The sequence below is a fragment of the Homo sapiens genome, chromosome 9 (assembly GCF_000001405.40).
Source record: "Homo sapiens chromosome 9, GRCh38.p14 Primary Assembly".
NCBI lineage: Eukaryota > Metazoa > Chordata > Mammalia > Primates > Hominidae > Homo > Homo sapiens.
In genome coordinates this window covers 84,793,912-84,820,726 of record NC_000009.12, presented here as the reverse complement: position 1 = coordinate 84,820,726, position 26,815 = coordinate 84,793,912, and the positions used below count along the sequence as shown (strand labels likewise).

The window sequence follows — 26,815 nt, the reverse complement described above, 5'->3', positions numbered from 1 at the left end:
GATCCTTGAACAACGCAGGTTGGAACTGCTTAGGTCCGCTTATACACAAATTTTTTTCAATGAATATATTCGAAATTTTTAGGAGATTTGAAACAATTTGAAAAAATTAACAGATGAACCTTGTAACATAGAAATATTGAAAAAATTAACGAAAAGTTAAATATGTCATGAATGCGTAAAATACATGTAGATACTAGTCTATGTATTAACCAACTGTTCACGGAATTAGTAAGACTTCTGGTCAAAAGTAAGCTATTGGCTGGGCACGGTGGCTCACACCTGTAATTCCAACACTTTGGGAGGCCGAGGCAGGCAAATCACTCGAGGTCGGGAGTTCAAGATCAGCCTGGCCAACATGGTGAAACCCGATCTCTCTTACAAATACAAAAATTAGCTAGGCGTGGTGGTGCACGCCTGTAGTCCCAGCTACTAGGGAGGCTGAGGCAGGAGAATCACTTGAACCTGGGATGCGGAGGTTGCAATGAGCAGAGATCGCACCACTGCACTCCAGCCTGAGCAACAGAGCAAGACGCTGTCACCAAAAAAAAAAAAAAAAAGAAAGAAAGAAAGAAAAAAAGTAAGCTATTAGTAGTTAAGTTTTGGGGCAGTCAAAAATTATACTCATATTTTCAAATGTGCAGGGGATTGGTGCCCTTAACCCCCACATTGTTAAAGGGTCAACTATAATTGACACTTAATAAATATTTACTGGAGTTGGAAGAGATTTGATGGAAGATAAAATGAGATCATACATTAAAGAATATAACATATGTCTCAGGGTTTTGTCAAGGAAAAATAACTCACCCCATATGGTTCAAATGAAGAGATATATTGTAGGGCCACACAGAGAGATGCGGGCGGGGTAAAGAAACAAACAGGAAATAGGCACTCAGGAACTGACAACAGTGGGAAGCCCTTACCAACTCCAGGGATCAGGAAGGGAAAATAGCTTTGCTGGATCCCAGACAGAGCTGGAGCCACAGAGAAGGCGCCATTCTGCAGGACTCCAGATAGGGAGGGCTGAGCCTGTTTAAGGCTGGCGCCTCCACAGGGGGAACACAACAGACATACCCTGAACGCCTCCTCTGCCTGAGACCTGCCAGTGCACCCCATGGGTCAGACACCCTGAGAAGCCAGCAGGAGACCTGCATGTAATTAGACGTGGCATTCAATTCAACAGCGTTGAGTGAAGCGTGATGGAGAGGTAATCAATCAACCTCCCCAAGACCCAGGAGCCTGGAGTAAACGCAAAGAGGAAAATCTGCCTTGAGAGCAGTCTTTGAAAAGCCTGGAAGCACCCTCAGAGGCTGTGTCCTAGTTCAGGTGACAAACCTAGAACTCTCCACAGGTAAGGTAAAACAGTGCTGGCGACTCTGTACTTCCTACCCCGACTCAAGGGGCTTGAGGTGAAATTGCATGAATTTACTTGAGGCTGAATTAAAATCCTTAAAGCAAACAGCCGTGGCCTATGTTTCTATATAATAATTCAGCAAGACTGATTACAGCATGATGATAATTTTTAAAAAGAGATGGAAGCGTGGTTAATAAACACAAAAGAGGTTTCTCCTTTCCTTCTTGGCAACAGGATAAACATTTCTAAAAGAGAGAGGGAGGGAACTTACTGTTCATTAATTTATGGTCAGGCAGAGATTTTAACTCAGTAAACACAGGCTCCAGGGTCTTGTAGCGTGTGAGATGGGGCTTGACCAAATGACTGGAAAATTAGCATGTGCCCTCAGCAGTCTCTCTCAATCACTGGCTGCCAGACGGGACATTCGAGGACAGGCACATTGAAGTGACCAAGCAGCTCCGACGCTGCTCTGCCTGTGGGTGTTCGAAAGGCAAGGAACAGCGCAGGCATTTTTCACCACCTTGTTCTGATGTCTGGATTCTGTTCATGGAGATGGCAGGACGTGTCCTCCACACCCCTTCCCACCAGGCCCTTTCCACTCGCAAGGTTTCCCTCAAGTTCACTCACCAGAGAGTAGGGACTACTCCAAAAGAATGGGAAGTACTAAAGTTCAAGAGTGATGAGAAAATTCACCTGAAGGCAATAAAAAACAGCAAATCCATCTTCAGTTATAACGGACAAAGCAAACGTGCTCTGGGGTTAACTAATTAGCGCTGAATTACAGACTTGATGCAACTTCTCTTTTTCACAAGGTGAAATTTAAAATGTATGTGCCAATTTCACTACTGTGCCACATACTTGCAAGTCAAGATCTGAAAAGGATTTGTTCATGGCACAAATACCTGAAGACTTGCTGGGATCAAGGGGTGCCTCTCCAGTGACTTCAGTTAACTTTAGAATTCTACTTTAGTGCAACAATAACACAACTGCCAGTGCTAGTAGGAGTGGCCACTGGGCACTTGCATGAACCTAAGAGTTACCACCGTCTTTCAAATTGTGCCCTAGACACCTGGCTGGCCTCGCTCTAGCCCCAGCCCAGTTCAAGAATCCAGTTCACATACGGAGCACCAGCTTTACAGACAGCCTGCTTGAACTCAAATCCTAGTGTTAACTTGTTAGCTCGGTAACCTGAGGCACGTCCCTCATGGCTCCATTCCTCAGTTTCCTAATCGTTACAATACAGGCAATATTAGCTTTGGCCTCATAAGGTTGTTGGGAGGATCATGAAACACTTAAGTTTGAAGTCAATACCTGTTACCTATCATTATCTCTTAGGTCCTGTGGTAGAGCTCACTAAAGGATGTATTAGGAAAGGTGGTAGCAATAGTAAAATTGTCCTAAATTAAGTGCTAGAAATACATCAACGCCACTCATTTAAAATGATTTAATGATAGGAAAAAAGTGCAAATTATGAAGTATTTTTAATAACATGAAATTTATGACTTCAAACATGAAGTAGTTCCAACTAGGCCAATCATGTGTGGCCTTCTAGAGCTATTACCAGAAACAACTTCAGGAAGGAAAAGAATAATCTAGTTATTCATAACTCATTGCCTGTGAATACTCGTTTCTAAGTCTTGAGGGAACTTGAAACTGTCTTTTCTTTGAAACAATCTTTTGGCTAAGTTGTTACTTACATTCTTAGCCAAAGATTTTTAAATAGATAATTCAAAAAGTAAAGTTAATGCATTCCCTGTTGAAATGATAAAAAGAAATCTGAATTAACAAAATGAGAACTAGTGAGGCCAGCTGTATTCAGTGTAAGACATTCAGAGCTATTTCTCCAAGAATTTGCAAATAACAGACCATCATTCAAACTCATGGAACTATTAGAATATTGGCCAAATAAATCAGATCCTCTTATTTTATCAAAATCAAACCTGAGGCAGAATCAGTGTGTAAGAATTGGCTTGGATAAAGAGAAGAATTCAAGAGCAGAATCCTAATAACTCCTGAAACAATTCCAAAGTGGCCTTCACAGGTTGGGCCACACCCAGGATGACCCAGTGAGTGAAGTTTCCTTTCATTTGGTTTCCATTATTTGCAACCACACAATCTGCATATGACCAAGATATGCGAGTGGGTTTGTAATTCGTGGACATTTACCGAGGTACACCCAACGACTCGCCAACCAAAGCTCCTTTGAAGTATTAGTTATTAGCAATACCGAGTGTCCCACTTGCCAGGCAATGTGCCAAGGGCTTTACCTGAGCCATCTCATTTAACTCTTATAAGAGCCCAGTGAGGTAAATATTGTACTATTCTTATTACCATCATCTCATTCTGCAAAGGAAGAAATTGAAGCACGGAGCAGTGAAAGAACTTTCCCAAGATTATATTGTTCGTGAGCATAGCTGGGATTCAAACCTGCATAGTCTGTGACAAATGCCTGCCACTCCAAATTATCATATGACCTTCAGATGTTAGATGCAACCTGTTCTTCGTTCAACAAATGGAGAAGGGAGTTTGGAAAAAGCACAAGTCACTAACACTGAAGTTTGGGCTTTTTTCTTTTCTTTTTTTTTTTTTTTTTTTTTGAGATGGAGTCTTGCTGTGTCATCCAGGCTGGAGTGCAATGGCGCAACCTTGGCTCACTGCAAACTCCACCTCCTGGGTTCAAATGATTCTCCTGCCTCAGCCTCCTGAATAGGTGAGATTACAGGCGCCCGCCACCACGCCCAGCTAATTTTTGTATTTTTAGTAGAGACAGGGTTTCACCACATTGGCCAGGCTGGTCTTGAACTCTCGACCTCATGATCCGCCCGCCTCAGCCTCCCAAAGTACTGGGATTATAGGTGTGAGCCGCCACGCCCAGCCCAACACTGGGCTTTTATAAGAGGGGCAGTATACTTGACTTGATAAAGCATGAGGTCACACTAGATTAGTTTTTCCAATCCCTAAGTCTGATTTAGAGCAAAACCCTTTGGGTGTCAACAGAAGGGAATGGCAGGCTCAAATGAATTGGAGCCTGAGGTCCTACAAACCTCACTTTTACATCCTGTTTTCAATGGGAAAAATGGGGCAGGAACCATGCAGCTGACCTGAGGATAGAGACAAAAGGGACATGAAGTGTGGGCACCATGCTAACAGTTATGGTCTCATGGTATCTTCCCTCTACATCCAACATATTCCCCTCTCTCTCGCTTTCAAGTACAAGTCATTATGTTTATATGTCCACAAAGTCATTTAGAATAGAGAAACAGAGCATTGAGTATACTCTCTTATTGTGACCTGGGTCATTTCAAATTTTTAAAATACCAAAGGGCTTTGCCATAGAATTTAGGGTTTTTAAAAAAAATTCGCATAAGTTTTTTTTTTTTTTTTTAAGGATTGCCTTTTAGCCAAATAAAATATTTCTGATGCAAGAATCAGTAAACAATGAATGGACAATTCATACTGACAGGAATTTTAAAAGACCTTTTTGGGGGGATAATTTATCACAGAATCTGAAATGGGCCTGGTACTCCCCTGAAACTCTCCGTGACATTTCTCACACTGTTTCTTCTAAAGTCTTCAGTTCTGAACACAACCAAGGGCACTCAGGTGACAGCACACACTTGAGGAAGTGTGAGGAAGTACACAAGATCTACAGAGAATGCAAGACACATGGAGATGAATTATCAAACTTTATTGGCTTGTTAAAAATGATTGAATTCAGCAAGTACATTTATGATCTATCTACATTGTTAAAACAGCACTAAAAATAAAAATTTTTAAAATGATTATCCATTATTTACAGAAAATGTGGAAAAGATGGCTTTTAAACCCAGAACATTATAGGAAAAAAAAAAAAAAAACAGGGCATGAGAATGATTCACAGGCTGCCTCTGGATTACAGCAAATGGTTGAACATGAAGTGCGTGAAACTCAAGGATTTGCGTTTCTTAGGAATCTCTTGTTACTTTGTATGTGTTTATACTCAATTCATAAATGGACTGTCTTACAATAAAGGTGATAAAAAATCTCTGTTCCTTTCTTTTTGCTTTTCACACTTTTTTTCCCCATAAAAACCCACTGCAGTCATAGTCAGTAGTTAGGGGTGGGGGTTGGTTCAACACATTCTGGGTGCTCACTCATGAACATGCCAAAGCTATACTGCAACACTAGCCTGAATTCAACTTAGAGTTACCTCACCATCAAAATCAGGTGGCTGGGACGTTCTTTTGTCTCTGAAGACCAAAACTTGAAAATGGACTGACTTTAGTGGGAAATTTCCTTCTGCGACAGTCATTGTCATGGAACTTTCCTGGGCTGGGAGTTCTGTCAGCCAAATTCAGTCTGGCAGCACCTGGCAGCAAATTCAATTCATGGTCTGTCCAAAAGAGTCCTTAATCTTCCCCTATGTCTTTAGATGAACCTGGCATGGTTTGCAGGTACTACAGGCATGTGAACATAGCAGAACACACTTAATAGAGTGGTTACTTCTGTACTAATTTCCTTGGAGTCAAGTCAGCTAAGCTGCGCAACTCCAAGGGCTCTGGGGACATAGACTAGATGTGACTGGCCCTGCCCATGTGGCTGGATGCACCAACCCTGAGAGACCCTATGCTAGATGGAATTGCTTGTCCTCAGTCCAGCTGTCCCTCTGTATCTGGAGTCTAGACAAAACAAGATGAAATAAACTTCTAGTGTAGTGTGAAGGAATCAGATTCAAACCAAGAGAGAAGTTCTAGACAGCTAGCACCAAAACAGGCGGAGGTGTAAATCATGCAAAGGAAGAAAGCACAGGTCTTGTGTAGTATCTTGATTCCATTTTGCAATGGAGGAATAAAAAGTCGTGTGTGTTCTAATTCTGTGAAACAACCAATGAAACAAAAATAAATTCTCAGTTGGTCATGGGGTCAGTTTAGAATACTAGAGAGAGAGAGAAAAAAAAGTCAAGTGCTCTAAAGAAATAAAGAGAAAAGAAGAGGAGAGAGAAAGCGGGCTTCCCTCCATTATGCTCTCTCTCGCACCTGGCGTGAAACTGGTTTTCTGTCTTCAGCTCTTCGAGCTATTTACTCCACACACCCCTGAAGAGGTGTCGCCTCTGCTCTGTCTGAGGAGATGCTCCAAGCCTCAGCCATTCTGGGCCTAATTCAGGGTTACTTGGAGAGTGAGAAGCCAAAAGCAAACTCCTGTGTTCTGTGTTGCTGGGTGGGGCTGGGATTGTTTAGTTCTTGTCCTTGCTACCTATTTCTGGAAAGAAAACCTAGTGGGTCAGAAATGAAATCAGTCCCTGCTGGGAGACTGGGAGAGAAAACCCCTGAATCAATTATCTCTAATGTGTGTTGAGATTTGTTTTTCCTGTTGTGAGATGAACCTTTCTTAGCCTCAGACTGTTTGTACTTTTGTCGTCACAGAGTCAGTGTCTCATGTGATGACGGTGGATGCATTCCTTAGTCTAGCTCAGCAGCCTGAGAGGGTCTCTGGAGGCCCCCATTGAGCCATGAGTAAATATAATAAGATATAGGACGTGGACCACATTAAGGGCACCCATGAAAATGGGACATGTACTTTCCTATCTAAACCTGGCAGCACCTGACTGGGCCAAGAGACATGAGCGCTGTTGAAAAGAAATTAGTGTCAGATATAATAGGAGGAAGGATTTGCTAGGATGTCTCTGGCCACACGGGAGTAGGACCAACCAGGGAATGGGTTGAGGGGAGACATTGGTGCAGAATTCCCAGCAAAGGGAGACAGCTGAGGGTCACAGCATGGTGGGAATCACAGGAGAGGAGCAAAGGTAATTGACATGTTGCAGATAACTGGGCTGTTAAACTCAGTTTCTTAGCTTGTGGTAACAAAGCCCTCAATGGCAATGTCAGGAAGAAAGAAAAGTGAATTTGCAACGGGAAGACAGAAGGATACCGTGAGAGAACAATGATCATGTTTTAAGACAAAAGTAATAAACTGGCAGCCCACAGACTTTTGTTGGCTTACAAAATGTTTTAAAAATAATTGAGCCAACTTTTTAACAATCGGGACATTTCACACGAAATCCAGGTTTCATGTTTCTCCTAAAGAATCACAAGATTTGGAAACCTAGGCTCCCATTCCTGTGGGACACAGTTGGCTGCGGCTGGGGACAGTGGCCCCTCTGGAAGGGCAGGCATCGGCTCACACAGATCATTCTGTTCATTTAGGAGACCTGCCTGGCATTGAAGTGCCAGAACCTTTATTGGAGAGTGACAGGCCCGATTTCAGCAAAAATGCTACCTCTCCTTTTCTAATGCTGCAATAATGCAACACATGCATTAGGAAGCTCTAAAAAGCACATTTCTTATGGGAGACATAAAAAGCAAAATGATGAAAAGGGGTGGTCTAGAGTACAGAAAAGAGAAGCTATGTTACTGATCATCCCTTCAGGGATTAAAAAAAAGAAAAGAACACGAGAACTATATGAAATAATTTTCTAATAGCCTGCTGTTTTCATCATTCCCTAGGAGATGTCAACTGATCTTTGATATATTAAATGGCCTTATCTGTCCACTTCTCTCCATTTTAAAACAAAAATCTACCTTGCAATCCTTCTAGCTGTTGGGTACAAATATTCCTTTTTTTTTATTTTTCCTTTTTGGGTCTGGAACACTTTAAAATAGTTCTTAAACAATCCATAGCCTTTCTATGGCTCCATGGTATAACATAAAAGCTTTAAAAATCTTTTTTGTACCAAATGGCTGATTCTCAAGAACCTTTGCCATACTGAGCTCCTGCCTGGCTCACAGCTTGAATTTCATCTCTCTTTCAGGGTCATGATTTCTGCTATTAGCTGGCCTCTTTGTAAATCAACACCTTTGGGAAAGATCGGAATCTAAGTAATGACAGAAACTGTCATTTAGCCGCGAACAAGAAAATGGGAATTCAGAAAATGTTCGGACCTCCCCACATTGGGGGCCAGCTGCCCTTACATTCAAATGGAGTTAGGAGGAAAACTTGAGAACTGGCGGCATGTTTCTGCTTTTGAGAAACTGCCCCTCTTTAAGGCATGGGTATGAAGTAGCCAAGTGAAATGCTGCAATCCATAGGATTCTGTGAAAGGTCTTCATCAAGCAATAACGTATTTAGTGGCTAATGTAAAGGATGCAGTATAAAATATTCATTATGGATATCCTTTTTATATCAAGTGGTACCTAAATGGATCCTGGTTTATTAAGATTAATGCCTTGGTTTACAGAGGATTCAAAACAATGTTTCTGACTGTGTTGGACTAGTTAAAAATCTATAGAACCTTAAAGCTAAATTGCAGCATTTGTGCAACTATTTCCAAAAAAAATAAATTTTTAAAACATCAATGTTTCCAATCCAGCTATGGCGTCTGTGTGCATGTCTAACTGTCAGAGCTGATTGTGTTTTCAAACAAAATGCTGCAGGCCTGGCTCTGAAGTCCTCCTGATAAAAAAGGAACAGGGTGGGGTGGGGTGGGGTGGGGATAGCCAAACCTCTCTTCAGGACAAGCATACTGCCTGACACAGACTGAACAGAGCATACAAAGGTCACTGTGATGCTAAAGTGAATGAAACAGGTGTCCATGGGTCAGACTCAGGGGGGATGCAGAAATCCACAGCTCTAAGGCTGCCCTCTCAGCAATGAAGAAGGACATTATAAAGCATATATTCATTAGCGACCTGCCACCTCTTTGCTGCTGGGGTCAGGACAAGCTTTCCTACCCATGAAAACCCAGCAGTATGACAGTATGTTGTAGGGGGGACTATCCTTCTTAGAATCTCCTCTCCTGCTCACAGCAGGCCAGCCATTCTGCTCCCAGGCCTTTTCAGAGTAGAAAAGCTGCAGTTCTGTAATGCAAACAGCATGAGATACTGTGGCCTTCTCACTCGGCAGACTTCTAAAAAGCAGGTGGATCGCAGAGGGCAAATAAAAAAGGGCAAGGTTATAATTTCACCATATGCATATATTCCACTCTTAGTTATTCTGAAATTGACTATGCCTAACTTAAATCTATAGCCCCAACAAAACAGCTGTTGCTGCTTGTTCTTGTTTTTTTTCTTCTTCTTCTTTTTAAACGTTTTTCATTTGTTTGTTTTGTTTTGTTTTGTTTTGCTGGCTAAGGAACTTTAAGACAATCCTTAACATTGTTTGACTCTCAGACCTAAGCTAAACATTTGGACTTTTATTGACAGTGAAGGAAATAACCTTTTAATAATACTACCAAGTCCCAAAGTGATGGTATATATACCCTTAACTCTTTTAGTCACTGTGTTATAGATGAAAAAGTCAAACCCTCTGAATTCAGTGCTGATTAGAGTATAGAAAATCACACTAAAATATGTGTTACATGTAGATTAGACTATTCAGTGTGCACTTATACCTGTTCTCAACTTTAATTTTTTTTTAACTTTGCAGGTCAATTTTAATAAACAGAAGCAATTAAGTCAATAAATGTCCAGTAGGGTCAAAAAGCACACTTTTCAGAAGAGAAGTACAATCCAATGGGATTTCATTTCAGTTTTGTATTTGAACTACTGTAAGAAGAGAAGCATTAATTTAACATGTTTTCTTGAGGTGCTGCTTAGCTGCCTGAGAGTTACCTCTGCATTGGTGTTCCCCAATCACAGCTCACAGTATATGCAGGCTTCATATAGTACAGCCTCCAAACACCGCCCACATCTACCAGAAAACCCCAGATAAGCAGCACTTCCCGGGATAAGCCAACAGCAGTCCCAGGAGTCCAGCTTACATGGCAGCATCAACCAACAAGCACCACAGCCCCTTTCTCTGTCTTTTCCTTTATTTCAGCTACCCATCCAGTGGGATCTTATGAAACAAAACAAAACCTAAAAGAAACACAAAATAAAACATAAGTCATGCTCAAAAGAAAAATCAATGAAAATTAACATACAAGTACAATAACTTTCAAATGAACATAATAAATAAACATCAAAAATGAGACACAACATGGAATACACTTTAAACCATAGAGCAATATATAATAACAGAACAGAAGTTGGGGGAAATGGGCATCTCATTATTGAGCAACTTAGTTTTAAACTTAAAACTGATTTTACATGGTACATGAAACAAGGAAAAGAAATGCGAAGGATTTCTGCATACAGCTCCATCCACAACTGTGTCAGCTGTTAGCAGCTTACTTTAAGGAGGAAACATCTGTGTACAATACAAATGACCCTTGAAGAATTTTTATATATAGGTTCATGCAAAAGTAATGCCACTACTTTCAATGGCAAAAACCATGATTACTTTTGCACCAACCTAATATTTGTCTTTATGGGTGGGGGGAATTAGTTTCAACAATACCTATCTACCCAAATCCTGATTTTCTTTCCCCAGCTAATTTTAGCAAATCTTTTCTAAAAGAACTGATTAGTTACTCAGCAACTGGCCCAGAGAACTGGCTAACTTTAACTGGTGAAATACTAGACAATACAAATAGTTAGATTCTTCTCTCTTCTTTCTTTTTTTTTTTTTTTTTTTTCCAGACAGAGTATTGCTCTGTTGCCCAGGCCAGAGTGCAGTGGTGAGATCTCGGCTCACTGCAACCTCTGCCTCCCAGGTTCAAGCAATTCTCTTGCCTCAGCCTCCCAAGTAGCTGGGATTATAGGCATGTGCCACCACGCGCGGCTAATTTTTGTATTTTTAGTAGCGGCAGGGTTTCACCATGTTGCCCAGGCTGGTCTGAAACTCCTGACCTCAAGCAATCTACCCACCTCGGCCTCCCAAAGTGCTGGGATTACAGGCGTGAGCCACCAAGCCCAGCTATTCTTTTCTAAGAATCCTAATATAAAATAATTAATTAGTTGCTTAACTTTAAGTATTATAGCAAATATATGACACATATGGAGATGTAGTATTCATTATATAACTTATATAGCATACAACATGCAGTACATTGTATATGTATATATTATATCTATAAGACATATAGTATATGTATATATTATATATAATAATATATAAATAATATGATGTATAATATCTAACATTAAGTAATCCTACATTTGTTAAGCACCAACCAAACAGTAGACGCTGTGATAAATGTTACAAAAATAAAGAAAACACAGTTCCTTGACCTCAAATACTTCATTGGCCCATAGAAGGAGAAAGATGAGTAAATAATTTGCTCAATAAATGACAGTGAATCTACTTTGCACCAGGTTCTCTACTTAGCATTGCACCCAAACTATTCTTTTTTATTTTTACAATAACCCTATGAGATAAGTTCTGCAAGAAGAAGACAGTGAGCTTTCACTGAACTTGCCCATGGAAACCCAGTGGATCAGTGAAGGTTCTAGTATACATAATACTGTGTTTAATTTGCATGAATCTTTATTAGATCCATAAGTGGCAAAATAGACCATGTGGTAATAGAAATCTCCGAGACATTTTCAAGTTCAACTTTGGAAGACGCCTCTAAGCCCAACCATGTAGACTCTCCATCTTCCTCCACCTGGTGTCTGGTCTGCCAAGTGCTAGTGTCATCTGCCTCCAGAACCGTAAGTACCACCACCAATCTGTGTCATCATTTACAACAATGCTAAAAGAGTCTATGGAGCTTAATTTCCATGGCATTTCTCCCTCCTGCCCTTCCAAAAGAACTCAGTACAGATGCCAAACATCATTTATGGATTTAATCACCCACAAAAGCCCTAAGAATTTAGGAAGTACTCAGTAGCACTGATTAATTCTCCTTCATATCTGTCTCCAGTCTCCTTCTAAAAGTTTTGCCTCCAGGCAAACAGAAGCTGAGCTAGTTTAACAGTGCACTATGGCATGTAAAATGAGCATGCCAAATTAACAAATCAAACTTCTTAGCTTTTAAGAGGGTGGAGCTCAAATTCTTTCCCACTGAAACAATATGAGTATTAATATAAGGATGTCAACTTTGTCAATAAAAACAGGAGAAACTTAGTGATAGAGACAGCATGACCCCAGAATAAAAAGATTTGTTGACTCAATAACACGATTAACCTGCTGGTATAAAGGCTTATTTCCAATGGGTTTATGGCACAGGAACTCCAAGAGTTTACTAATCCCAGCATGTTTACAGCAGGAACTTAACCAGGCTTCTCTTTCTTTGTTTCTATCTGCTATTTTCCTGCCACAAGCCCCTCCAGGCTCACTAATTATTACAGTTGGAAACACAGCTAACTTTGCCAGATGACGGTTCTACTGGACCATTGCCATCCACTCAGGATGCAACTGCCCTGGCCCTTATTTCAATTGATGTCAAGTGTCCCTCTGCAACCTTCTTGTGCTTGCCTTTTGTGATCCATCCTTCCCAAAGAAGTAGATCTCAGCTCCACACGCCCATGCAATAAAAACAAGTGAAGCCGCCATAAAAACACATACGGCATTTTTCTTCTGAGGAAAAGCCAGCCTGTTGCAATTGTAAGCAATATGCATTCAAACTATCACTTCCACCCCCTTCACCTCAAAGAAGGCAAGTCACCCTACTCTTTCATACCCTTGATCTTCCCATACTGTGGACAGACTAAAGATATTTCACTACATATTGAAAAATTAATTTGATTTCAAGAGAGACTGATAGCAAAATTCAATCCAGGCCACGATTTACCTATCAGGATCTCATAACTTTTGCCCTCTCATATTATAAAAAACTCAAAAGACCACAAAATGATACAAAACAATAGAAGATTATTTTCTCCTTGTGAGGGGGAAAGTTTTTAGACCACAACAAATGGCTGAACATCTTGTGGGTTTAGCAGCCAAACGAGCTGTCTAGCTTATGAGCCTGAAATATAGATATTTTGACAATGTGACATTCTGAAGCATTTGTAGCATTCCGATGGTGCATGGTAGTTACCGTGAGACCAGCTCCTTTATCAAAAACAACTTTAGAGAAACTTTGCCACCATTGCACGCACTAGCTGAGCTATATAGGAACAAGGATAAAGCAGGTGCTATCTGAGAAATGGGATGTAAAGTTGAAAACAGAGAAGGAAGAAACTGGATGTGGCCTGAAACTCAACCTCTGCTATTTGCTGATTTAGGATCTACTCATTGACCTTTTCAAAGGGAAAGACTGGGAAGGGAAGGGAGTTGAAGGTCAGCGAAGTGCTCTGCTTTTTTATCATTGGCTCACAACCCATTTAAATTTATTTACATTCAAGCATGCACACATTTTCCTCCTATTACTCAGAAGCAATCAGCCATAAAATGGCAAGGATCTGCAGTACATTTAAATTAACAGCAATTTATCTGGAGCAAAAAGGAAAACTGCTGAGCCCAAAGGAAGTGAAGGGAACGGAAGAAAGATGCAGCTGCTATCTAAAAAAGCAAATCTTATCACATTTGTCATTGGGAGAGTTCAAGCAGAAAACTGCCAACTTGAGCATCTGCGTGGCATGGTGCCATTGGAGATGATCTGGTGGATGGGGCACCAAGGTAGCAGCTCACCTTCATTGGAAAGCAAAACAAATGCCTTTTAAGTCTTCTGGAAAATGTTTACTAGGTAAAATGAAATAATAAACTCCTATGTTCTCATAACATCGTGTGTCTAGAATACAGTGGGTTCAAAAACTTTCCATCACAAAGTGAGATGTGAGCAAGGTACAGTTGTGCTTTGTTCAGCATCTGGGCTTAAACACCTATTGTCTTAATTTGATATTTGTGGAGCACTTTATATCTGTTGGTTGCTGCACCAACTATCCCTTGCTGTTGTCGCTTTTTCTATTTTATAGATAACTGGCTCAACTCACATGGTGAATATGAATTGTCCAAGGTCACCCAAGAATGAATGAGAGAGCTGAAATCTAAACTCAGAGCCTCGGAATTGTCAGTCCCTCTTTGGCAAAGGTATCATCTGCACCTGTAGCAGAAATCTCCCCATATATAAATTTAGGTCCTGGTCTTGGTCCTGGTCCTTTCTTCTCTGTGCTCAATCCAGAAGTTGCTTAAACATCCCTAAAACACCCCTTTTGCTTCCCAAGGATTTACTTTGTCCACATATTATCCCTTCTCCTGGATCTCCTCCCACCAAATGAGCTCTCCTTTGAGACGCTCAGACTATTCTTCAAGATCCAGTGCAAAAGCCTTCTCCTGCAAGTACCTACTTCACCCTCCTCTAAACTTCTGAAGCATTCACTTCCACTCATGGACCTTCTTTTGTACCTTTTAAAACTTGTGTTTATTTTATTTTGATTTCCCTCCATCTCAGACTTCATCCCACAGGAGGACAGAGGGAGCACATCTATACATTTTCTATGCTCAACATGGCCTCACACAAATACCAAGAGCTGAAGGCATTTTTGGTTTCACAATAGTAAGGTCTAAATGTTGAGTTTTATTTGTCTTAGTCTGTTTTCTGTTGCTTATAACAGAATATCTGAAACTGGGTAATTTATAAAGAAAAGGAATTTATTTCTTACAGTTATGGAGGCTGACAAGTCCAAGGTCAAGGGGCTGTATCTTGTGAGGGCCTTCTTGCTGGTGGGAAATCTTTGCAGAGTTCAAAGGCAGTACAGGGCATGACATGCCCAGGAGGCTGAGTGTGCTAGTACAGCTGTCTCTTACTCTTTGTATAAAGCCACCAGTCCCACTCCTGTGACAATCCATTAATCCACTGAGCCATGAATGAACCCATCTATTCATGAGGGCAGAGGCCTCATGACCCAATTATTTCTTAAAGGCCTCAACTCTCTATACTGCCACATTGGGGGTTAAGTTTCAACATGAGTTTCAGAGGGGACAAACATTCAAACCATAGCAAACTTCAGTGTACTCAACAACCCAACTGAATTGAAGGAGAATGAAGGATGCAACACAATGCAGGATCTACTGCTTCTCATTGGCAACTGGGTGAGTCCAGGCATTCCAAAGCTTCCAGTACGAAATCACATTTTTCTCAGAAGTATAGTGAAGGCTGCAGAGTTAGACACGTGGACACACAGTGAGTACTTCCTGGAGCATTTTAATCTACTGGGGAAAAGGTGCTAGACTTGGTTTATTCTAATTCTCACTTTGATCAAAATTACAGTAGTGTATGCGGGACAAAGGGAAAAAAACGTGGTCCATTTATTAGCTGGAGGTGAAAAACTAAAATTACTGAGATGGTCAGGAAGGCTTTTAAAGGAAAAGCTCTGGTCTGATGTTGCAAAATGAAGTTTCATTATGAGCTGAAAATGAAAGTAGAAAGCACACTTGGCAAAGCTGGAATTTGTAAGGAAAGCCAAAGTTATTGCACAGTTAAAACTCAACAATTCTAAGGGGAATGTGCTCTAATCAGCAGGCTCTGATGACAAGTGTCCGAGGACTCAACAACTACCATTTCAGAGACTTCACAGAGGATGGGGAATGCATCCAAAGACTGATACCATTGCCCCATCCACAGAATCACCTAAAATTGCTTTAAGTGGAGTAGAGAAAAAGAAAGAAGAATTTGTGGTTTGAGAGGTACTCAGATGCTCAAAAGGCTTTACTACTACCACATGGAGACACCCAAATTAATCTATTGTTCTCCTGGGGTGTGTCTAGCCTTTCTGTCTTGCTTCAATAAACATATATTGAAAAATCTATAGGGTCGATATCTGTAGAGTGAAATGACATTTTCTTAAAGATGTCATTCCACAATTCTAAGTCTAGAGGGGCTTATCAGTGATTCAAATAGTCAGTACAGATAAGCAATATATGTCATCACAGAAGAGTATGCAGTTGCTGCTGCCACCATAGATCTTGTGCCTCAATTTATTTTCGTCAAAATACTCTAGCCAGTTCTTTATAGTATATGAAGCCAGAGTGCTGAAACTTACAGAGTCCAAACAAGAGGTTAATGATATAAATCCATTACCCAATTCAACCTATAACTATATAAAATCTGCAAGAACCTCAGATATACACAATGTGAGTTGCTTGGCTCTGCCCAATTTTGGCTGAAACTGTAGGCCATTGACCAAAGTGGATCTGGGAATCAATTTGTACAAAGTAAATAATGTACAACAAAACACATAAAAGAAGTACACATAGGTCAGCCAGTGCCTGTGTGAGGATGACGATAATGATTGTGGGGGAGATGAAAATCAAGAGATAGAAAGAGGAAGAGGAGGAGGAGAAATTTTTTTTTAAAGTGGTTGGTATTGATGCGCCTCAGACCCCTCAAGCATGTTCAGAGACTGAACACAATTATTGAAGAGTAAAAATAGAGATAATAAGCCTCCAAAACAGGAAGATAAATCCAGGTCCAAGTTTAAGCTGACCCTAGAAGAAAGAGTGTAGGTGAAAATAAAATTTGTCATGAAGCAACACTTTTTCATCAGGCATCCCAAGCAATACTTCAGAAATAGAGTTTGGAGCTCTTTAACATTTAGGATTCGTGTTAAGATAGCAACAATCAGGGGGGCTTATGTGTGGCCGATGTCTCTGCCTATTGCTGCAAGTCCCAAAAGTCAAATCCACCAGCAGTACCAATTAAGCTAGAAGAGGGTCAAACAAATTACCCTCACTTGAATACAGGTACCTGATAAATCCCATCTCCATTTAAATTAGCTAAGAGCAAAAGATAATGAAACCTCAGCTAAGCAGCAAGTATTCCGGAATGCGAAACATACATATGTGGGGCTAATAATCCCCATGAACTGACTACAAAAAACATGAATTACCCAACTCTGCCTGAGAGTGGGATAAAATGCAAGGCCTGGGTTCCGTTTGGCCAGGGACTTCTTGGAAGGTAGGCCAACATCCTATGATCTGGAGCCCACAAGGTGAAACTGCTGAAGTCCTCATTCAGAGGACTGAACTGTGGCTTTTCAAGGAACCTAGTTCAAGTGGTCATCCCCAGACCCACGGAGGGTATCCCTCTCCCCATGTGCTGCTGCCTTATTGCCTCCTCCTCACTGCCCACCCCCACAAGTGAGGACATTAACAGCCCACTGCTCCAGCTCCTGCTCCCAGACCAAGGTAGGGCCGCATATCTGCTTCTGACGCTGCTGCAGGCAGATGTGTGACCCCTGATGGGGAGGGTGGCCACAGAGCAGGGAGCTTCCAGGCTTCAAAGACACTTCTCTGGCTTCAGCTTTTTACCAAAGAAATGGATGTGCCCAAACTTGAAAACAGAGGAGGATTATGAGGAAGAAAGAAGGTTCTTTACCCAGACATCCCCTTTTTCTCTAGTGCCTGTTCCCAGGAGCAACCATTAGTAGAACTTCCATCATCTCAGACATTACCTAGCTACAGTGAGAATTAAAATGTGCCTCTCCTCCACAGCAGGGTGGGCACAGACTCATTTGGCACTCTGTTGGTATCTGGGGAAGCTTAGGTTGAAATGGTGATCATCCTGCCCTTTGTCAGTCCACCTGGGGCATTAATTGACATTTCTCTGTAAGAGAAATTGAAAGTCATAGATCAGATCCTGGGAGGCATACCCAACTTAAACCCCAGTGATCGTGTCTTATCCCAGCAAGGTTTATAAGGGCAGATCCCTGAATTGTTCATCAGTCTTCAAGAGAACCCACTCATTCACGTCACGAGCACAGAATCCACGCTCCTAAAGCTTTTCCACATCTGGTGGCACCCTCAGGATACTGTCAACGGCAGATCACTATGCACACTCCTTAAGCTTAGCAGGTGACCCATTTCAAAAAGCCCCATTAAAACAGAGAGCTTACTCTATCTGAAAGCAGATTCTCAATAGGAAACTTGAAAAGTGCAAAGCCAATCCCAGGGTCACAGCCTTATATATGTTCCGACTGAGGCAGCCAACAGAACCCCTCACTTGAGTTAAATTAACCCACAGTTCTAGAAGCCTCTGCTGTCAGGGACATTTTTATTTGCTCAAAGAGCTCATTTTGGAATAAGCCCATGCTGCTAAGTCATCCCACCTCACTGTCTTTCCTAATGCTCAACAATGTCTTACAGCAGCGGGGCGTGTGCCAACCTCAGTGGTTTTACACAGCAACACCTCTTTCTGAAGGATTCTCTCTTCTCCTCGACTCCTTCATGTTGGAGCGCAGGAAGTCCCTTCATAATTCTTTGGTTCAAGTGGAATTTATATATGAGGAAAACCCTGGATTGTAAAGGGCATAAATTTCTATATACACACACCAGATTTCGCAGTTTATTTTTCTTTTTAAAGTATGGAGGGCCAGCTAAGGCATTCCAAATATAACAGCTTGGTTAGAAATTATGGTGACCATGCTAAAAATCAACCAGACCTAAGACACTGGAAAAAAAATGCATTTTAGATTTTTTAAAATAAAAATTTAATGTACCCAAAACATCTGACATTATTTTAAGAGATGTTTTCCAAAACTTACAGGAAGTTGTTGGCTAAGTCAAAGTGATTAAAAGGAAAAGGCGATCTACTTCATAACCTGATGCAAATTCTTAGCTTAAAAAAGGAATCATCATCTCCTTAAAGAACAAGAGGCCTTGAAAAACATGTGATGGACAAATGCATTTCCTTCTGCGAAAGCAGTAAAAAATTTAAAATGTCATATAGATGAAAAGACACAGTGTAATTACATGGGTATAGCAGGAATGACTGGATTATATATTAATTTTCCTTTCATTCATCACAATTATGGCCATTTACCATCCATCATTTAACTGTCCAAGATCCCAGAACTAAACAGAAGCTCTTTAATTGATGATGGGATTATGTCCTAATAAACCCATCATGAGCTGAAAATATAGTACGTTGAAAATGTATTTAATACACCTAGCCTACCAAACATCATAGCATAGCCTGGCCTGCCTTAAAACTGCTCAGACACTTATATTTGCCTACAACCGGGCAAAATCACCCGGCAACACAAAACCTTGTAGGGTCTCAGTTGTTTACCCTCTGAATCCTGTGGCTGACTGAGAGATGTGGCTTGCTGCCCCTGCTCAGCGTCACAGGAGAATACCGAACCACTTTCTACTGAATGCTCATCACCACTGCATGATCATAAAGTTAAAAAATTCTAAGTTGAACCATCCTAAGTCAGGGACTGTCTGTACTAACTAGTACCACTGGAATTTGAATTTTAAAAAGTACAGTCATTCCACGCATTTCGTGCTAAAGGATTCATTTCTACAGTGATGCCTGAAAGAAACCCACCTGCCGCTGGTTAGGCAGCAAGAAGCAGTCTACAACCAGAAACACCCGTTTGGATCCTATCCCTTTCCCTCCTGAGCTATGTGATGCTGGCCAAGTGAGGGGACCTCTCTGAACCTCAGTTATCCAACTTTACAATAGAGATGAAAAAAAATCTAACAGGTTCTGATAACCAGAACTAATGTGAGTACCTTAGTGCCTTCCAGCTTTCCATTCGCAGGCACGAGCAGTGAACACCAACCCTGCCTGCAGTAGCTCAGCAGCCACTGCAAATGATCACATCAATTGCATTGTAAATCATGGGCCAAAACACATTCTTTGTCATGAGTTATGAAGCAAAAAGTCATGGAAAGGAACTTTGCTCAAAAATTCCAATTCCCCATGGAAAAGGGTGGCCCAAACTGAAAGAGTGGCCCCAAAATTCCAATTTCCTCCTGGAAAAGGGTGGCCCAAACTGAAAGAAGTCTTTAGGTTCCTGGAGGAAGGCCCCAGAACCCCAGCTTGAGAGACCTACAGGGTGGGCTCGTGCCCTCTTGACCCCTCTCGGGAGGTAAGATGTCCTTCCAGCCAAATGGTGGGTCCTGGCTGCTGATATCACTCTGTGTCTGAATGCTGGCAAATGCCAGTGATTTCACACCCATGGTAGAAAGGGTCTGAGAACTGTTCCATGGCTTTAGTTCCAATTCTGGGACCACAAGGAAATGTTTTGCAAAAGGGGTTTGCCTCTATCCTTTATTGTGGAATTGACTCTGCATTCCTCGACTGAGGAATATACACATAGGTGGTAATTATAAAACTACATCTTGGCCAGGCACGGTGGCCCACATCTGTAATCCCAGCACTTTGGGAGGCCGAGGCAGGCAGATCACCTGAGGTCAGGAGTTCAAGACCAGCCTGGCCAACATGGTAAAACCCCATCTCTACAAAAATACAAAATTAGCTGGTGTGATGGCAGGTGCCTGTAATCCCAGCTACTCCGGAGACTGAGGCCGGAAGAATCACTTGAACCCAGGAGGCACAGGTTGCAGTGGGCCTAAATCATGCCATTGCACTCCAGCCTGGGCGACAGAGCGAGACTCCATCTCAAAAAAAAAAAGAAAGAAACTATATCTTGATAGAGCTTCGGCTTCCAGTTGTTCTAGACAACAGAACTAGCTGTCCAAAGGCGAGAGGAGTGCCTCCAGGAACACATCCTCTCTATCCAGGCTTGCTTCTGAGACAGTGCCTGTTTCCATCTTCCGGCAGCAGCTAAATGAACCAAACCCTAACTAAATTTAACTGGCTAATTGCACCTAAATTACAGTCACAAAGCCCCTTCAGAAGATTCAGTCAATTTCTTGAGGGAGAAAGTAAATGTTTTACTATATAATTATAAACTTAATTAACATAAAATAAATTAATTAGGGACTTGCGTTGGTAATGAATATCATGGTTTAGATGTTTATTGCTGTATTTTCCAGGGGAAGCTAAACCTTGAAAAGTGGGCTAACTTGTTCTTTAAGCCTAATTTCATCTCACCTCTCCCACCCCCAACTGAACTGTTAGATTTCTTGTTTATATTCAGTAGAATGGCACGGAATACCAATTCTTCTATGCCAGAGATCATTCTCATAGCAAGGAACTATAGTGAAAATGCCCTCCCATGCTGAACATCAAAAATTCCACAGAATTCAAATGAAAATAATTTATGTCCTAATCTCTAGGAAAAAAAAAAAATCCCCATCCTAAACCCGTATAGCTACAATAGTTCCTAGCTGGCAGTTCACTAAAATAACAGATGATTATCTAAAGTAATAATTTCCACTTCCCAGAATATAATGACAAAAACTCACCTAGAGCTGAAATAACCATCTGCCACAGATTGTTCCACATCGGTTGTTTGCTTGTTTGTTTTTTAATTCTCAGAAAGAATTCAAAAATGGCATTGGCAAAGAAAGATGATTTCAGAAAAATGACCCAGTTTCCAACCTGCATTGCCACTATCATCCTAATTTTTTTTTTATCTGACTTAGGAGAACAGCAGGCTGAGAAAAGGAGCCTTGAAGCATGATCTTGAAGGCACAGAGTAGATCTTTGGTGAATGAAAGTCTTGTTCTAATTTTCAAGTGTCATAATTTCTAGGAATGCCAACCTGCATCTCTCATACCTGTTTTTCCCCTTGATTGATGTGAAGATGGAGAACAGCCACTGTGCTAAAGCCTGACCCACTGAGAGGCAGAAAGAAGAGTGGTTGAAAGAATGGGCCCTGAAGGTGGAATACCCAAATGACTGTGTGACCTTGGGCAAGTTGCCTCAGTTTTCTTGCCTATAAAATGGAGCTAATGATAATAGTTAATTTGGGGCTGATGTGCAGATTAAATAAGCATATATATATATATATATATATATATATAGCACTTAGAAGTGTCTGGCATATAGCAGGTGTTCAGTAAATATCAGCTGTTTCCATTATCTGCAGACCTAGGTCTCAGCTTTTGTCCTTGAAGTGGCAAATGCTTTATGTTCACAAAGAGTTGCAAATGAATGAAACAGATCTACTTTGTTAGGACACACTGGTCAACATACGCACCAAACGGAAAAGACAATTCAGGTTGAGATTGTAAATAAAAATAATCATCTGTGTCAGATAAGAAATAGGCTGTCTTATCACTGTATCCGGGAACTTTTGTGAAGAAAGGAAATTTGGAGACCCTATAGCCCATTTTCTTCAGTCAATATCACCCTTTCACTTAGGACATAAGGAAGGTAAGTTTCTGAGAGGTTAAGTAACTTGCTCCAGGGCACAGGGCCAGCCAAGGGCAGACTCAGGGCCCCTGTCATTGTGTCAGCAGCAGACTCAGTGCTAGAATGAAATACAATATGGTGAGACCATCTTTCATGACAGGCTAAAGCTGAAGACAGAAACAGAACCCATTGTTTTGATATGAAAATTAATACCCCTCCTATGGTCTGAATGTGTGTGTCCTCCTAAAATTCATATGCTGAAACCTAATTCCCAGTGTGATGATATTAACAGGTGGGGCATTTGGGAGGTATAATAACTAGGTCATGAGGGTGGAGCCCTCATGAATGAAATTAATGTCCTCACAAAAGAGGCCCAAGGGAGCTCATGCGCTCCTTCCACCAGATGAAGACACAATGAGAAGGTGCCATCTATGAACCAGAAAATGGGCCCTCACCTGACAATGAATCTGCTGGTGCCTTGATATCGGACTTCCCAGCCTCCAGGACTGTGAAAAATAAATTTCTGTTGTTTATCAACCACCCAGTCTGTGATACTTTGTTATAGCGGCAAGACTAAGACAGTCCCAATGGCTCATACCCAGGAGTCCTGAACACACTACTGCTACATTTTACTTTATATATTTTACTAATAGTAAATATTAATAGTAATTAGTAATTATTATAGTAATAATAATTATTACTATATTATATATATTATTATAGTATATATAATATATAATATATATATTATTATAGTATATATAATATATAATATATATATTATTATAGTATATATAATATATATTATATATATTATTATAGTATATATAATATATATTATAGTATATATAATATATAATATATATATTATTATAGTATATATAATATATATATTATAGTATATATAATATATAATATATAATATATATATTATTATAGTATATATAATATATAATATATAGTATATATATTATATATAATATATAGTATATATAGTATATATAATATATATAATATATAGTATATATAATATATATATTATATATACATTATTATAGTAATAATAATAGTAATTATTATGTTACTTTACTTAAACATTAAAGTAATTTCCACATGAAGAGAAGAGGGATCCAGTCACTGTGTTCAGCTTTCACGGAATCCCCCATAACTAGTTATGCAGGTATCACCAAACTTTTTCTGCAAAGGGACAAATAGTAAATAATTTTCAAATTTTCAGGTCATTCCATTTCTGCCACAACTGCTCATTCTGCCATTGTAGTATGAAAGCAACATAGACAACATGTGAGAAATGAGTCGGTGTGTTCCAGTAAAACTTAAATTTATGAAAAATAGATAGCAGGTGAGATCTGGCCCAGGGGCTGTAATTTGCTCACCTTTGGGTAATGCAACCACCTGCCTGATGCTCTCTTTATTTCTTTAATTTTTCCCATGTTAAGCTTCCTCCTTCAGTGAACATCGTACTGTTTCAATATACTTAACAGGGTATATTCAATATGCGGTAGAATCTAATTTATTAAGACTAGAAATAAAAGCCAGTGTGAATTTATGAAAGCTCTAAGTTAGGAAATATATTTAAAGAAATGCAGCTTTATTACTTTCATATATATAAAGGAATCAAAATTAAGCCAATAAAACATTTCCAGCATGTTTTGGCAAGTAGGGGGTAATTCAGCCTTACCCAAAAGAAAAAAATAATTTAAGATTATATGATTCATCAATTGTTTTCATGAGATTCCTTTGAAAATGCTTAAAAAGTTTGTTTCCTAAGATGGTGATATATGATTCCTACCACCCATCTTGTTTCCACTAGTCATTAATTTAGAAATTCCTTTGTTCATGAAAGATACCCTAATATTCCACCAACCCAATTCCTCACTAAATTAATGATCTGAATCAGCAAGAGTTTTTGAACTTTCAGAAAAGCTAAATAAATTGTAATCCTATGACATCATAGATTAATACCATCTTTTGAAATAGCTTTACTGCTCTCTGTCTAAGGACCTCTGTCTGACCTTTGGCAGATATTGTAGATTGGCTGTTCAAAATCCATTCACAAACCCCCTTTCCTTTGTCTTCCTCTACCCTGGATGGAAAGGATCCAATATACTTTTTCCCAGCACCTCTTGAAACTAAGTGTGGGCTCGTGACATAACTCTGGCCACTGAGATATAGCTAGAAGGTAAGGGGGAAGGATCTTCTAATCTTGAATTAAAAGAAAAAGCCTCCTTATCCTTCTTCATTCTTTCTAGTTGGGATATAGTTTTAAGGTCTTGAGGCAAAGCAGCCTTTTTGAGACCACTAGGTCACAAACAAGAGGAGAAGGCCTAGATGCTGAGGATAGCAGATATGAAAGGTGGAAAGAGCCAGAATGTCCCTGATAACATTAAGCCACCTTAATAACCCTGGATCCCAGAATTCTTGCTGTGCGAAAAAAACCTATCTGTTTAAGTGGTTGCTGTTTTTATTTGTTGGTTGCAGTAGCTAATGCAATCCCATGTGACACAATTCATGGAGGCCTTGGCGTCAGTTCTGTGAGATAGGGAGCAGGGATGTGGTCAACTATAAATTAAAGAATCTTAGCTACTACCAAAAAAAAAAAAAAGAAAAGTAATCAGCTTTGAAGTGACATTGTGACATCTATATAGCACCTGGAACTCTATGCAAGGTGCAAGGGTCCATATTACATACTTGCAGCCCAACAGAGCCATAGGAGAGCAGCCAAACCTCCCTTAAAGGGCCATGGCAGTGGCCAAGAGAGGGAGGATGTACTCAGGTGCATGAGCAAGGAGCCAAAATACTTTGGGGTCCGGGAGAGGAGAGCTCTGCACAGAGAAAAGCTATACTGTGAGCAGATACCTTAGTGAGTTAGACGCTGAGGATGAGGCACTGTGGGGGCCCGAACCCTCAGGCTAACTCCTGGGGTCAGTGAGAAACAATAGAACCCCCTTGACATTTGAAGATTGAGAGTTGAAGAGACCTGGGGCTGCTTCCCATAAAGACCTCTGGGAAGCAGCAGCCACACATAGGTCCCCTCTTCTCAGTGCCAGTGAAAGAAGAAAGACTGCACTGTGCTCGGCCTGCACCAGCATGTGCAGGGACCTCACTCAGCCCTCGCGTTTCCCAAGAGCCCAGGGCAGTAAGTTAGAACATCCATAGTTCCTCTGTCCCCAAAAGAGGCACAGACGTGGCCAAGACTGTCCCTGGGCGTGTTGGGATGAGGGGTACACGGGACAGCCTATGTGGTCTTAGTGTTGGGGGTCACGGCAGGTCTGAAAGTGTCAGCAGTGGAGGCACCTAGGGCAGAGGCCAACAGCAAAGACCTGGCAGCAGGACAAAGTAGGTTTCAGTAGATGCAGGAAAGCTGCCACCACCCCTCAGGAGGTCCTCCCACTTCCCTCTGTCTTTGGAGAGAACAGATAGATCCCTGAACTTGCCTATGCTTGCAGTCGGAATATAATCCCAGTTTTGACCAATTCACCTGGAAACGACTACATGAAGCTCTCTGTCGTGGACAGAGCTGAGAGCTCAAGGTAGACATTAATTTGGGGGGTGGAGGGCACAGGGGGAATTAAGACAGTAGATGTTTCCAAGTCCCAGGCTAGGGAGGAGTTTCAGTATTTTTCCCAGTCACAGCTTTGATGAGATTGTGCTTCTGTCTACCATTTCATTTTACTGAGATGTTATCTTCTTACCAAATATAGAGAGGTGGAAACACATAAAGGTGAGATTTCTGTGATTTCTTTTTAGATCAAGACATGGAGAAAAAAATTCCAACCTACTTAGCATTAGGTTCAACCTCTGTCCTAGACTCCCAAAGTCCCTTTATATGCAAGAATTTCCCCTCCTTTGACTATATGCCCCTCTACCATAATTATAAAGCTCTGTGTGTGACAGAGGAAAGACAATAAAAAGGGAGAGTAACTAACATTTTTATGCATCTAACTATATTCTGTATTGCGCAAGGCACATTTTATACATAGCTCATTTAAAGTGTATTTTATTTCCATATTGGAGATGAGAAAACCGCTGAGATGATAAGTAACATGCCCAATTCCAAACAGCCAATAAAAACTCAGCTATATCTAAGTATAAAGAGTATTGCATTACACTGGGGTTTTTTGGCTATGCCATGATGTTAACTCATCTGAACTGCCTTTTAATCCTGTTTCCTCTCTGTCTCCCAGAAAGGAAAATGAAGAGCAACCTGCAACCTATGCCCCTGTCCATATAAGCAAATGCACCAACGGCCACGGACAAGGATGCCCCCATTTTCGGGTGATGGCTCCTGCCTATTTCTAGGCAACTTCTTCCTAATCTCCTTGTAATTTTGTATTTTCATAGATTAAATCTCTCTCTCTGAACATGTGGTTCGTATCTACTGCCAAATGCTGTAGGTGAAGGCTAAAATACTCCTGGATGTAGACATTTTCAGCGTCCTGGCAGATATACACGTCAACACCTGAGATCCCCAAACCTCACTGCCAAACTTGCAACACTGGACACAAAACAAAGGCAGCTTGAGCTTGTACAAAGTCAACTTAGTTGTCTAAAACCACTCCATTTTGCATAGAAGAGGTCAGCACAGTTTTTTCTGCAAAGGGCCAGATAATTAGGATTTCCAGTTCTGCCTTCGATATGTGCTCCATAGC

General features: G+C 40.7%; 1 protein-coding gene across 38 annotated transcripts in view; it reads right to left on the bottom strand.

Annotated features, from left to right (window-relative positions):
- NTRK2 (neurotrophic receptor tyrosine kinase 2) overlaps positions 1 to 26,815 on the bottom strand; it is a 358,533-nt gene that overhangs the window by 206,328 nt on the left and 125,390 nt on the right. For 17 of the 38 annotated variants that reach the window (XM_017014760.3, NM_001369544.1, NM_001291937.2 and 14 more), the window contains one exon: positions 5,025 to 10,185. The exons of the other annotated variants lie outside the window; for them this stretch is intronic. In XM_017014760.3, the coding sequence (XP_016870249.1) occupies positions 10,148 to 10,185 (38 nt within the window). In that variant the 3' untranslated portion in view covers positions 5,025 to 10,147. Of the gene's footprint in view, positions 1 to 5,024; positions 10,186 to 26,815 lie in introns of those variants that run through there. 38 annotated transcript variants of the gene reach the window in all.